This window comes from Homo sapiens, chromosome 15, assembly GCF_000001405.40.
Source record: "Homo sapiens chromosome 15, GRCh38.p14 Primary Assembly".
NCBI classification, from domain to species: domain Eukaryota; kingdom Metazoa; phylum Chordata; class Mammalia; order Primates; family Hominidae; genus Homo; species Homo sapiens.
Window position 1 is genome coordinate 47,988,440 of NC_000015.10, and position 14,606 is coordinate 48,003,045.

Below are 14,606 nucleotides of genomic sequence, written 5' to 3' on the forward strand. Positions count from 1 at the left end.
CCTCAGTTACTCTTTTGTAAACTGACGTAATGGCCTAGATCTGTGGTTCTCAAAGTGTGGTCCCTAGACCAACATCAGCAGCAGCATCCAGGACTGGTCCTGCTGATGATTTACCTGGCCTTGCCCTGGGCCCCAGACCTATTGAATTGGAAACTCTGTAGGTGGGCCCCAGCAATGTGATGTCACAAGTTCTCCAGGTGACTGTGCTATACATAAAAGTGTGAGAATACCTGTGTTAGATGATTTAGAAATATCCCATGTGCAATTCCACACCACTGCAGGTGTTACCTGCAGTTTAACCATCTGTCTGTGGAGGAGCTGTCTGCCCAGGAAGATTGACCTGGGGGTGGTGGTGCAGGGGAGAGCAACTGAGGAAAAGTTAGAGCTGAGAAGCCGAGGTTCACCTGTCTAGTGAATGAAAATTCAGCCTCTGATGGACAGTCCTGATGGTCAACTGAATGTCTAAAGACCATTGGTCCAAGAGATTTCTCACCCTATTTCACCAACATATAAGAGCAATGGACTCTCACTCTGCTTTGCCATCCACTGTCTGAACGAATGCATTTCCCCTGGCTGCACCCCAACTACCAAATAACAAGGCTTAGGTTTCCCCTCTTCTTCCACAAAGACTTTTGTGAATGGCAATAAGTCCATATTTTTCCTTCCTTCCTTCCTTTCTTTCTCTTTCTTTCTTTTTTTCTTTCTCTCTCTCTTTCTTCCTTCCTTCCTTTCTTTCTTTCTTTTCTTTTTTCCTGAGACAGGGTCTAGCTCTGTTGCCCAGGCTGGTGTGCAGTGACACAATCTCGGCTCACTGCAGTCACCACCTCCCAGGCTCAAGCAATCTTCCCACCTCAGCCACCCAAGTAGTTAGGACTACAGGGATACACCACCATGCCTGGCTAATTTATTGTTTTTTTGTTTTGTTTTGTTTTGTTTTGTTTTGCAGATACGAGGTTTCACCATGTTGCCCAGGCTCGTCTCAAACTCCTGAGCTCAAGCAATCCTCCCACCTCACCCTCCCAAAGTGCTGGGATTACAGGCATGAGCCACTATGCCTGGCCCATATTTTTCTCTTTCTATCTGAATCCCCTTCTCCCCAACGTCCATAGCAGAAAATTGAGTACTTAATGACATATCATATTGGAGTATTTTCAAATTGTTCCCATGATTATCTCATCTCACTCACCAGAGCTCACTGAGGATTTTTGCTTATGTGGCTCATATACTCACCCCCATGTTTCTGGCAAGTTTCCAGAGCGACTCCGGCACAAATTGGTGTTTAACAAATTATTGATGATTGACTTTTATATAGTTATCTGAAACTACAAATGTGAATACATTTTAAGCCACCACAATTTTTCTCCTCTTTTCCCCATTATGATCCTAAAGGATTCTGTAAAACAGTCATATTGACTTAAAGAGGGCTAAAACCCACAAAAAAACAGCGAACTTGAAAAAGGTGAAGTGGTGAGGAATTCTAAGAATTATATTAGACCCACCTAGGTAGATCAGTGGAACAGTCACTCTTCAAATTTCCTCTGTTATGGGTCATGTATTTGAGCAGTTAAAAAAAATAAAATTTAAACCACACCGACCAAAAATTTGAATCATCCTTTTAAAGAAAACTTAATAAAAGTTATGTGCAGATGTAGCTAGTACTAGAAAATAAACCAAAATGTCAGCAGTCTTTTTTAGTATTGTGACTATGAGATTGTTGATGAGTAATTATTGAAAACCTCCCTGAATTTGTTCTGGACTTCCTTTCAATAGGAAGGAGAAAACTTAAAACAGACTGAGGTGTCTGTCCCTTGGTTGCTAAAGCTGCTCTAGAAGGGTGCTCTGTAGAGAGCCCTGTCTGTTATGAAGAAGAAGAGTCAGGGGTCTGACACTACCCCAAGCCCTTTTCTTTTACATAGGAAATGTGAACATACAAATGTGTTTGTACAGCGTCTCCACACCCAGTAGTGCCACCAGACACTGAGGTCAGAAACTACAACTCATGTTTGCCTCCCAGCTGCTAGCCAGCTCGCACATAGCGAGGCCTTCATTGATCTGAATTAGGCAAAACATACTAATATCCATAGTTATTTGGCAACAGGACCACGTAAAGTTTATCCTACCACTCTCAAGTTTTATTTATACAACTGTCACTTTAAGAGGCCTATTTGTTTATGGTAAAGAGACCACTTTGAGTAGGACAAAAAATGGACAGGGTCAAAGCTGGTTCTTCGTTGCGAAACAAACCAACATCATTTTAATGGATTCAGTCTGGTTTTCTGAGGATTGGTTGGAAAGTTGGTTTTGGTTTGTGTGTGCATTTTGCAAAAGTCCACACTTTTTCTATAACTTGTAGACCTCGATGTCCTTCTGAATTCTCCTCAGGCTATGACATTCTAAATGACCTAGGATTGAGAGATGCTTTCTGTACAGCCCAGAGCAGCTGCATAGTGGAGGTGGTGGCATTTCAACAGCACAGATCAGTGAAAGACCCTTTATTATCTAATGGTAGAGGACCAGGCTATAAAGTGGATTGTGTGCTCAGGAATCCTTTGAGATGAAAGGTATGGAAGAGGGAGAATGGGCTCTATTCAGCCTCATGGAGGGCAGATATGTGCCTGAGAACAGAGACTGTCTTCATTGACTTAGTGCTTTGGGTGGAAGAGGGCACTGGTAGCAGAGTCTCGTGGGCGCAGAGGGTGAGGGACCCTCCTGTGGCTCCTCTGGGTGGCTCTGAGTCCAGGCATACAAAGACATTGCTAAAGAATCACTGCCCTGTTGCAAGAATCTTGTGAGGTCCCCCTGAAACAAGAAACATTTTCTGTGTTCCCACCCAAGAGGGGGTGCAGAGTTCTCTCCTAGGGGTAGAGGGTGGGGACCACACAAATGGAGGAAGCATGATGCCCCTCACCACTTCCAGCCCTTCCCAGATGCTGGTTACTTTCAGCAGCAGACCTCACGGAAGGCCTGCAACACCTCTGTGAAACAGGGAGGGCAGGGATTAGTATTTCCATTTAGTCGAGGAGAAAAATGAGATTCAAGAGCTTCAGTGACTCACCCAAACTTATGTGCCAAACAAATCAGATCTGGGACCGGAACTCACATCTTCTCATCCCACTTCAGTGTTTTTCCTCCAACATGAGGCAGCTGCTCCAAGACTGCCTTTCAGGCATGTGCTAGAATGAAAAGCCACACGGCCCCACAGCATGGGGAGGGCTGCTTACCAACCTGCCCTGCTTCCTACCCACTTGACTCCTTCCTGCTTTCCACACCAGGTCAAATATGCACTTATGACAGTAGACTATTGACAGCAAGTTTTGGGGGGGACTGGTGATAAGGCAGGACATTAAGGTGACTATAATGGCAGCAGCAAAGGCACACTAATGTCTTCAAAGAATCGACAGTACTGCCTCTTAAAGTAGAGCCCAGGCTCCAACCCCAACCCCAAGGGCCTTGTGGAGCCCCTCAAATGTGAAGCAAAGGCAAACCAGAAGGCAGGCTCAGGTACTCAGTCTCTTCTTTGGAAGGGGCTGGAGACACTCTAGCTCCACTGAGCCATAATAAAAAGGAACTTTACAAATAAGCACAAAGTAGGCCAAGATCTTCCACATCTCCAGTCACTCCAACAGGCCTCCAATAGTACTCCAGTACTTTAGAGGGCATGACAGAAAATAGTTCCCTTGATGGGGAAATGGGCCTTTTTGGTGTGATCTTACAGAATTTCTGCATTGGATATAACCTGAAAAATGCAAAACCCCCATCGCCCTGACTCTTTTGGATCCAACAGCTGAGTGTATGGGGACAGTTTCCTTGACCGCCATGATGGAGACTAGGGATTGAGCACCTGCTCTGTGTTCTTCACAAAGGCAGTTGTATGTGCCATAGGAAAAGAGAACGCTACTTGCAAAATTGCTCTAAAATAGAGAAATGGCCAGGTGCAGTGGCTCATGCCTGTAATCCCAGCACTTTGAGAGGTCAAGGCGGGTGGATGATTTGAGTCCAGGAGTTCAAGACCAGCCTGGGCAACATGGCGAAACCCCATCTTTACAAATAAATACAAAAATCAGACGGGCATGGTGGTGTGCACCTGTAGTCCCAGCTACTTGGAAGGTTGAGGTGAGAGAATCGCTTAAGCCCAGGAGGCAGAGGTTGCAGTGAGCTGAGGTGCCACTGCACCCCAGCCTGGATGACCCCATCTCTGGTAAATAAATAAATAAATAAATAAATAAATAAATGTAAAATATAGAGAATTGACTGTTTTTTCCTTATTAGTGATAGGACAGAAATACAATGGCTGTCAAAGAAGAAAACTCTACATTACTGTCACCTAGAAAGGTAAGCCAAAAACTATTTGTTTCATTTCCATTTACATTTTTTTAAATGAATATAAGACATGCTGATTCTGAAATTTTAGCTGGTATCAGAACCTCCTGGAAGGCTTGCTTAAATACAGATTGCTGGGCTTGGCCTCAGAATTTCTGATTCAATAGGTCTGGGGTAGGACCTGAGATTTTTATAGTTCTGACAAGTTCCCAGGTGATCTCTAGGCCACTGGTCTGGGGATCATGCTTTGAGAATCACTGACATGGAGATTTTTTTTTTTTTTTTTTTTTTTAATGGAGAAAGGGTCTTGGTTAGAAGGTTACTCCACATCAGGACCTGAAATCCCAGCCAGAGTGACTGAGGTTGTTAGAGTCCAGTTTGACCCTGGATGACTTTGGGGATGAAACAGGCAGTTACCACCTTCTGAATGACAGTGCCTACAGCAGTGCAATCTGTTTCCAATTTAAAGAAGAGGGCGAGTGCTCCGCAACGCTCAGCTCAGTAAGCCTGTCATCCACAGGCGGCTCTGCACCTGGAACTGAGCTGGCATGATGCTTACGGGCTTCAGAGAACTTTGTGAAGATTATCACTGCCTTTACTCTGCAAGGGAGTTTGTCATGAGTATTCTAAACACCATTCCCAAACCAGCTCTAAGGAAAATTATTATTTGTTATTATTCTACCTTCTCAGGATCTTATCTCCCTGCTTCCATAAAACTCATCTCGCTCTTCGTCGCCTGCCTTTAGCCAATGCTTCTCAAATATAATGATACCCAAATTGCTGGGGGATCTTGCTGAAATGCAGATTCTGATTTAATAGGTCTGATGTAGTGGGGCCTGAGCCTCTGCATTTCTATCAAGTTCCCAGGGCTTGCCGATACTTCTGGTTCCTGTACTACACTGTGAGTAGCAAGGCATTAAATAATTTGAGACTTCTTAAGATTATCTATAAATTCTATCTTTTATTCTCTGGCTACCCTTCTGCTAGGTGTGACCAAATGCTAATGGCAAATCATATCTACTGCTGTTAGTATGTGAGTTTAGCAACCATTGCCTCTCCTGGCAATAGTATGCTAAAATGTGTAGGATTCTGAAGCTCCTTGAGAATGACACAGTAGAGACTTTCAATCCAGGGACTGGCCACTCAGGTAAAATTTTAGAGTTAGGGCCAGTTCTTATTGATCTCCTTTTGCTGGTGAAGGAAGCAATCCCTAAGGCAGGATGAATTGACTCAATTATTTATTTATTGGCAATTTATATCCTATCTCCTTCTAAAATGGGTTTAAAGCAGTGAGATCTGACTTAGGATCAGGCTATCTAACTAGTAAAGTCCAGTGTAAAATTTTCCTTTATGTTTGCAACTATGTCTTTTTATAAAGAAGAGAACAGGGAGGAAGATGGCAGGGAGAAAAAGAAGGAGAAGGAGGAAGACGGGGAAGAGGAGGAGGAGGAGGAGGACGAGCTGCTCTTTTCTCCAGCTTCCCTATGTGGATACACCCAGTCATTCTTTTACTTCTCAGAAATTTCATTGCATCAGATCAAAAATCTCAGTTATTCTCTTCCTTTTATCTAAAAAATGCCCAGCTCAAATAAAAGTAACCTAATGCCAAGAACCAAATGAAAAAGGTGGTTTATCAATAAATCATGGAACTTTCTTTGACCCTTCATTCTCCCCTGTCTCCTTTGCCCCATCTGTCACAGAGGCCTTGCTGTTCTGTCTTTCCCACTGCTCTCACATTCACTCTCCCTCCCTCACTTCGTTGGCCACCAAATAGTCCAGCCTTACGATCTCATATAGAACATTGCTATTAATACCTGGCATATACTGGCAATCTGCTTTGGACCAGCCACTCTACTAAGAGTTTTTTATGCATTTAATGCCCACTGTAATGCTATGCAATAGGTGTTATGACTCCCATTTTATAGGTAACAAATTTGAGGCTTAGAGGTTAATTCACCTGCCTAAGTTTTCGTAATTAGCATGTAATATAGTACAATGGGTTTCAAACTCAAGCTCCAGAGCCAAAGTTCTCTTTCACTACTGAACAAAACCACCTCCTGCACTTTAGATGCATCTGTCTGGGTGTGAATCTGTCCATGTGCTTATTGGTCTATCTCTGCTTACTCCAAAAAAGAAAAAAAAAGGAAACTACTTAGAAATTTTATCTGTGTCAGACCTACAGTTTTCTTCTTTTAGTGAGACATAACGATAAGGTAATCAGATCTCCTACTGTAAGTTGGTAAGCTCAGAAAAACATTCCTACCATCCTTAGGCAGCCCCTCTCATTTGAGTCTCTCTTAAAAAATTTATCCTGCAAACTCTGGTCAAATCACCTTCCCTGAAACATTGCTTTCCTCACATTGCTCCCCAGCTTCAATAACAAACAGGTTTCAGGAGATAACCCTTCTCATATACTTTACTGTCCAGTATCTGAACCCCATTTCCAAAGTTGAGGAATCCTCCATCTTAAGAAGCAGAGTCCATTGCTGAAAGTGCCAGAGGGTTGAATTGCTAGTCTTGCTTGCAACTACAGCCTGGGCATGTAATCTAGGACCCACCATCTGACAATACCACCCTAAATTTTAAATTGGAAAAAGCCTGGGCCTTGGCAAGGCAGTTTTAACGAAGGGTGGCAACAGCTATTTCTATGCTGCAGTTTTAGCATCAGAGTTGAGGACTGTGGTGCCCTGGAGCAAGCCATGCCCTGATGCCCGCTTGCAGTGAGAGAAGAGTCTTCTCTGACCAATTCGATTACAACTGGAGACACAGCTTCTGAAGCTTCCCAGAAAGTCTCAGTGCTTCCTGCTAGTGTTTGATCATATCTTTTCAAACAGCCAGAATTAAGTCACTCAGAATTGGGGTTAGGGCCTTGCTGCCAAGTACGCTGCCTGCTACAAAGTCCTTGCTTCGTCAAGCATGAGGAGCAGCCACTTTGGCCCAACCGTCACCTACAGCACTCGCACCTTAGAGGTGGAGCAACAGAGGGAGCCCTGTGAGAGAAAACCCTTGACCTCTCTTCTCTTTCGTTATGTCATTTTCATGACAAATTTATTTAAATTTACCCGCCGTGCCCTGCTCCAGTAAGGAGGGGTCGTTGCAAATCTGGCACAAGCATCTGCTATGACTACTGACCTGCAGGATGGGCAGAAAATAGGCCAGAGCCTCCTGGAGCCACCACCCCTAGGACTTGGAGCCTTGATCCCCAACCCTACTGCCTGGAAGAGAGGCTGGGGCAACGTATTAGTGAGAGAACCCCTCAAAATGTGCCTCTCATCTTCAGTGCACTCACATTTTGGGGGCAGGTGTCTGCCCTGCCCACAGCCCTGCTGGAGCACACCTTGTGGTAACCACATGGGACTGAGCCTCGTCTCCCCTCTCACAGGGCCCACAGCTGGCATCTGTGGCACATGACCCATGGGAGTCAATCCATGAACTCCCCAGTGATCCACAGCTACCGAGAAAAAATGACTTGGTACAAAATGCAACAGCCTGGTTCAATCAGATTTTCTCTTTGGGGCACTGAAATTGAAAATAAATACAAATAAATAAAACAGATATAAGCTGGCAGGAAAAGCCATGCTATAAGTCAAGATGTGGCTGGGCGCAGCGGCTCACCCTTGTAATCCCAGCACTTTGGGAGGCCGAGGTGGGCAGATCATGAGATCAGGAGTTCAAGACCAGCCTGGCCAATATGGTGAAACCCTGTCTCTACTAAAAAATATAAAAAATTAGCCGAGTGTGGTGGCATGTGCCTGTTGTCCCAGCTACTCAGGAGGCTGAGGCAGGAGAATCGCTTGAACCTGAGAGGTGGATGTTGCAGTGAGCCAAGATCGCACCACTGCACTCCAGCCTGGGCAACACAGTGAGACTCCATCTCAAAAAAAAAAAAAAAAAAAAAAAAAGACAAGACGTGAGGGGCCATTGTGGACCATGAAAAGCCAAGTTATGAAGAGGCAGTAAACCTGAATGAGTAGAGGAAAGGCAGATGAAATGTGAGGGAGACTCCTTGTAGAGCGAGAAGAAAGCCGGTGCTGGGAAGGCGGCTGAGTCTCATTAATGGGGGAGATAAGCGTAAAGACCCAGGAACTGCAACAAGGACAATAGTCACTCTGGGCCTGGAAGACCCAAAGTCCTGCCACTTGTCTTCCAGGTCACTTGGTTTCCTTAGATCTCTGAGCACAGGCATCCTGACCACAGAACGCCCAGGATTTGAGGTCATTTGAGGGCAGCTATGTTTTTTTGACCAGAAGAGAATATCTGGACATATGGACACATGCATCTGCCAATATAGGGCTCTGCTTCCCAAGCACCCAGAATTTAGGGATGGCTTCTTCCTCCCAAAGGCACAGAAAGAACCCATAGGCCAGCCATTCCAAATGTGACTCGCATATGGAGAAGCATAAACATGGCAGATTAAGGGATGCTCCCTTCTAAGAAAACAATATTGGGGAGATAACAATTAGCACTGTTAAAAAATAGCATAGCATTGCGTCTCACATCTATTGTTTCACTGTGTTTTAAAATTATTTCAGTTTTACTTCCTTCTCTTTGTTCTGTGCAATACTTTAGTGACTTTGCCCTCTGCCTTTGTACATAAAATCATGGTTAGACACAGAAGTTTAGCAATGGCGTGTGACTAAACAAGGTTTGGCCCATGCCTTTTGAACAGTTGCTGATCCCTGGGCTTCCGTAGTCAAATCTAAACTCTTCTGCTGGTTTTCAAAGTCCTCCTAGCCAGGCTCTACCCTCCCTATCCAGCTTTATTTCCCTTGTCAATAAAAACCCATTAACTCAGGCCCAAACTTCCATTTTTATAAAAGGGCTTATGTAGATTTGCCACAAACAGCTAATTTGTCATAACTTCTAAGCGCATTATATCCCCAGGACAAGGCTGGAAAAATAACGTCTGGGCCCTTGAAGATATTTCTTTGCCTTGCTGTTGTCACAGCTAAGTGGAGTGATTCATTAGCCCTGTGAGAAACGCCTGACTGTCATTCTTAGAAGATATTACAGTTACTATGCAGTAGCAAGTCAATATTCAAAGAAAATTGAAATCTCTCCCTTCTCTGAACTCCCATAGTACTTTGGGTTTACAATTCTCACAGTCCTTATCATGCAGAGCTTTGTACTGTGGTTATTTCTGCACATGCACAGCTCAGCTCCCTGCTGGACTCTACTCTGTGACAGCTGAGACAGGTATAGGCTCTCCTGTCTCTAACTGTGCCTGGCGCTGAGAAGGTAATCCATAACTGTTTGTTTTTACTAAAATGAAACATGAAACTTAGCTTTTCTTTTTTCTTTTTAAAGAAACTACCTTTCTTGTTCCAGACAGTGGGATAAATGATGTATATATTCTGTGGAATTGTTTCCCTGAATCCTCAGAACAGACTTATGAGGTAGGTCTCACTCATTGTCCTTGTGATCTTGGTTAACATGAGCATTCTTTCATTGGTAAACCCATGTCCTATATTGTTACACTTCAGGTGATTAACAAAGTAACTGAGGCCTTTCAAGTGAAGGAAGAATGCAACTTAACTTCAACAGCAAGCCGTCTAGGTTAACCTCTTCAACTTTCAACACTTGAAGAGTGTTTCCCCCATGTGCGGTCCTCAGAAAATAGTAGATTCACAGATATGGTAGACCAGAGTTTCTGTGAGTCATTTAATGTACAATCAAAATGCAGATTCCCGAGCCTCACCCCAGATCTACCTGACCAGGAGCTTTGTAAATGAGGTTTTAAAATACACCTAAGGTGATCTTGATGTGCATATAAATTTGAGAAACTGTCTTAGATTGAGTCCTCAAATCAGTCAGGATGGGCTAGGTATGCTGCAGTAACATATCTCACTCACACCAAGTCTTCTGTGGGTATCAGTAACTCCCAGGGAGGTGTCCTCCATGTGGTGACTCAGCGATCCAGGCTGTCCTGATCCTGTGCCCTTCATTCCAACCTGAGGCTTGAATGTTCACTGTGTCAGAAGAAGGGTACTTGTCTACAGAGGGTGTTGTGCAACATATTCTATGTTCCTAGTCTTAAGAAAAAAGAAATTGAGAAATACTAGTGATCACCAGTAAAGTGTATGTTAGGTAAGCTGCGTTTGAGTCTCCATGAGCATACTTCACCCTTCCAAGAAACCTTAAGTTTGCTCTCTAGTTGAGTGAAATCTTACAGCAGCAGAGGAGAAGGGTGTGTAAATCAATATTTGCATCTTCCAAGAGCACTGCAGACCTCCAGAGAGGAGAGCAGAGCAAAAGGCAGTAGTCATATTCCTCACTATTTTCCTTTCTTTGTGTTTCTATACCAAGAAAACTAACTAGATGTACAAATTTCATGTAATGTTGACAATAAGGATGCTAATATTTCTATGAAAATCCAAAGGAAGCCTCATGATGCTGCACACTTAACTGGAACCACTTCCAGTCCCTGCAGAGGTCTTAAGTATGTTTCTCCGGTAGGTCTCAGGTTTTCAACTACCTATTTATTTCCTTTGCTCTTTCTCCTTATTTCCCCTGAGTTTCTTACTCCTTGTTTTACCATGGAATAGGCAAATCTATGCAGTTTCTTTTCTCTCACCTGCCTGAAGACAGCACATAAGCTCTTTTGTTTGCTGGCTATGTTTCTGCTCAACATAATAATGAGGAGAGGAAGGGAAAGAAAATTCATTCCTTAGGAAAGGGCCCAGTAAAGTGGAGGTCACATAAGAAGTTATGTTTATGTCTGAATTGTCTTCTCTCTCCTGGAGGAAGGGACCACATGCCCATTGGTTCAGTGGAGGCTGGATGGAGAAGGTCAGTGAACAGAAGACGGAGGCCTACTGTGTTTCCAATTACATCTCCAGAGGAAGCCAGAGACTCTAGAACAGGGACAATGAGAACCTTGAAAGGAACTTTGCAAGTTCTATAAGTTTGTCATTTTAATTCTCCTCAGCTTGGAGGTGGCCTCACGTGCTTCAGCCAGACTTAGATGTACTATGTATGTATGTACTAGAATGCACTATAAGAATGCCAGGAACAAGTGTGGTCTATAAAGGGAGCCTCAGTGTAACGCTGAGACAGGCTCATTGGCAGCTCCAGTAGGAAATTATAAGCTGAATATTTTATATATATATATATATACACACACACACAATATGCATACACACAATCGCACACACATACATACACACACACACATTTTAAAAGCTTTCTGCAATAGCCATCCAAAATCTAAATTGAAATAAAACTGAAGCTAGGACTTAACAGTGCTCTCCTCCTCCCCTGATACATCTCTAATTTTTCTTCTGGGGGTTTGGCTTACCCAGACCCTCCATTTCAGATAAGTCTCTCTGTATTTCCACAAAGTACTGAAAGAGAGCTTAGGGACTGAGTCTAGAAGCCTCATTTTACATACAGGAAACAGGCACAGAGATGTGGTGAGAGGCTGAGACTAGATGGAAAGAAACTGGGTCTTTCAGCCCAGGACAGTTTTCTAACAGCCCACTGCCACACAATCTCAGGAGGACTGCAGCCCAGTGTGGAACTGTGGAAATCTCTTCCTCTTATTCTTGGGATGGGTTTGTCTAAGTCTTCTTCGCTTTAGTGAGAGTATCTTATCCTTTTCTCTGTGATGCAGCAATAAATAAGGCTAATGGTATGTAACTACATTTGTCACATCTCACGCTCAGGTCCTAGACTCTAGGTGCTCACGGAATCTCTTTTGTTTCTGGCAAGAAAATGGTGCATTGAGTCACTGACAGGGAAGCACAATAAGAGGCCAGGTGTAGGGTCCATGTTTACCTTCTCTCCTCCTCCCCAGCAGGCTTCCTGCGCACTTCTTCAGGCTACACTGGCCAACTTAAGCCTTTGTATATGAGGAAGATTAAGCCAAAATAGTCTCCTCTCCCTGTGGTTCTTCCTCTTAGCAAGAAGTAATAGTACTGAATCTTATTCCAAAAAAAAAAAGCCTAAATAAATATAACCATCCAGTTCCTTGTTTCCAGTTTGTCAAGATAAATCAGGCTCACTGTTCCTGCAGAGTCCCTTAAACCTTTTGTTTCACCTAAAGAGTAGCCGACAGTTCCTTCAGCTTCATCCATCCAGCCTGACCTGCCCCTCATGGCCAGGGCAGACCTGCACATCAGCCTGGAGACACAGAGAGACTTCTCTAAAAACAGAGCCTTTGTTCATGAAGACCATTGCCACTGCTTGTGGACTTCCTGATTTTTTTCATCAGCTGTTGAAGACCCTTGATTCTCACCCAAAACACGTCAAAACTGATGCTGGTAGAAGAAACTATGCAGGAAAGGGGAGAAATATATTGTTGGGTATTTTTTTAGCACTACAGTTTTTAATCAACTCTTTACCCAAAGCCTGATACCAGATCAAACCTTAAATTTCATTCCACCATATGGCTTAATGATGATATATTCCAAACTTCTTCATGTGGAAGCAAGGCTGTTGACTGGACATGCCAATACTGGGTACAGCCACATCCACAGCTCCTTCCAAGCTGACCAACTCACACCCCTTGGTAGAAGGAAATTCACCACATACTAGTTTTGTGAACCGCTAAGACTTAGTTTCCTCATCTGTTAAGTGAAGGTAATCATAGAACAAACTTATGGGATGATTAAATAAATATGGAGGTGAAGAAATGAATGTTGACTAAATGGAGATGATGATTAAATGAAATAATATATGTGAAATGCCTAGAACAATGCTAAACAAATCTTAGCGACTGTTGACTGTTATATTATAGGACTCTGCTTCTTCTGCCAGGCACAGCCAATTGGGCCACCATTGTGTATCTGAACACAATTTCATTCATACATTGGACAGCAACTTACGCTACTTAAGTTCCATGGGGTACAGATTAGCCTCATCCTGCAGGGTAACCCTGGAGGGTAAGTTATACCTCAGAGTGTGTGGCCCATCAGAAAACGCTTTCTGGTCCAATCACCTCATCCTGGAAATCTGAAGTCAGACATGCAGAAAGAAGGAGGTGGGTAGAAAGGGGAACTGAAGGTGAAACTAAAGATAGTAAAAGGCTTGGGTTATAGAAGAGGCCAAGAGGGCTTCAGCAATAAGAGTTACAAGGAGGCAGAAGCATGAGTCAGCAGAAAGCAAGATAGACAAAAGCACACAGAGGAGAAGGGGAAAGAGTAAACCCCTCCAGGTGGAGTTAGAGCAGATTAGAGCAGACACAGGAAGCCATAGCAGTGGCTTCACTAGGGTGAAGATCTATGAGTCCTGCTTGTTCTGAAGTTTCAGTTCCTCAAGATCTGTTATTTCTTATTTTTCCTGCTCTTCCTGGGACCAGGCCTTTCTTAGGTTCCCAAGCACATATATTTTTAAAATAAGCCATCTGTTATTTGAGATCCTTCTAGTGGATCTCGTTTCCTTGCAATCAAAAGAACCAAATTACAAAACAAACAAACAACAAAATAAAAGCACACAATCTGATGCTTCAGCCTGCCTTTGCAAGCTCCTCTCTCAGGTTTGTACTTCCTACCAGACATAAGGCAGTGTAGCCACACCAACCAGTCTCCCATCCCTAAACATACCTTCAGTAGTCATGCTTCAGGATGTGTTCTCACGCTATTATATAACTGATGCCTGCAATTCCCTTCCCACCCATCTCAAATTCCCCTTACAGATCGCAGATGGAGTGGGCACTGCTGGTGCTTCTTCCAGATTCTCTCAGAGCTCTATAATTATTTCTGTACACCTGGTGTCTGGCTTCTGGGTGCTTTTGCTTCCAATGGACCACATGGCAACTCTCTTCAGAAGCCCACCTTCTGGCAACCGGAACCAGTTTGTATATCATTTCAAAGATCAGAAGTGTCTGGGTCAACATAGCTTCCCAACCCTGCCCACTAAGACCCTCAGTCAAAGGCCGATGAGTGTAAGACAATAAGAAGCCAGTTGCTTTGCTTGGAAGCCAGGGGCAGACTGTGAGGTATAACTTACCCTCCAGGGCTCCCCTGCAGGATCAGGCTAACCTGTCTTCCATGGGACTTGAGTAATCTCATCCTTACTGGAGTCTTCTCCTTATCCTCCCTTGCTCCCTACACCCCCTTTCTGGTTTCTCTCAGGAGCACTTCCTTAATAATCCATTTTCCCACTGTCCTCAGGGTCTGCTTCTAGGGATGCCAAGCTAAACAGCAAGGTGTTTACGCAGGGTAAACACCTCCTCTCAGATTTCCCTTGGCAGTTCCCTCTTGCCACTAGAACTCTGTACAACATTAATATAACTGATAGCACACTTCCTGGTTTTCATGTCTGTCTAGATTATCAGTTCCTCAAAG

The 14,606-nt window shown here is 43.8% G+C and overlaps 2 long non-coding RNA genes across 5 annotated transcripts in view, besides 1 other annotated feature; one reads left to right on the plus strand and one right to left on the minus strand.

Moving 5' to 3' along the window:
* The window catches only part of LOC102724553 (uncharacterized), a 43,914-nt gene extending 29,384 nt beyond the window's left edge, over positions 1 to 14,530 (minus strand). For both annotated transcript variants that reach the window (XR_001751520.2, XR_001751521.2), the window contains exon 1: positions 14,269 to 14,530. This is a non-coding gene — a long non-coding RNA (uncharacterized LOC102724553). The remainder of the gene's footprint in view (positions 1 to 14,268) is intronic.
* LOC124900354 (uncharacterized) overlaps positions 1 to 14,606 on the plus strand; it is a 165,186-nt gene that overhangs the window by 104,077 nt on the left and 46,503 nt on the right. For 2 of the 3 annotated variants that reach the window (XR_001751516.3, XR_001751518.3), the window contains exon 2: positions 4,270 to 4,332. This is a non-coding gene — a long non-coding RNA (uncharacterized LOC124900354). Of the gene's footprint in view, positions 1 to 4,269; positions 4,333 to 9,648; positions 9,710 to 14,606 lie in introns of those variants that run through there. The other variant, XR_001751517.2, reaches the window with a different exon arrangement.
* Positions 13,291 to 13,440: an enhancer, noted in NCBI's record as "active region_9374". NCBI's record gives its function as "activates an Ori minimal core promoter by ATAC-STARR-seq in GM12878 lymphoblastoid cells {active_cell/tissue: GM12878}" and the evidence as "EXISTENCE:reporter gene assay evidence [ECO:0000049][PMID:35858748]".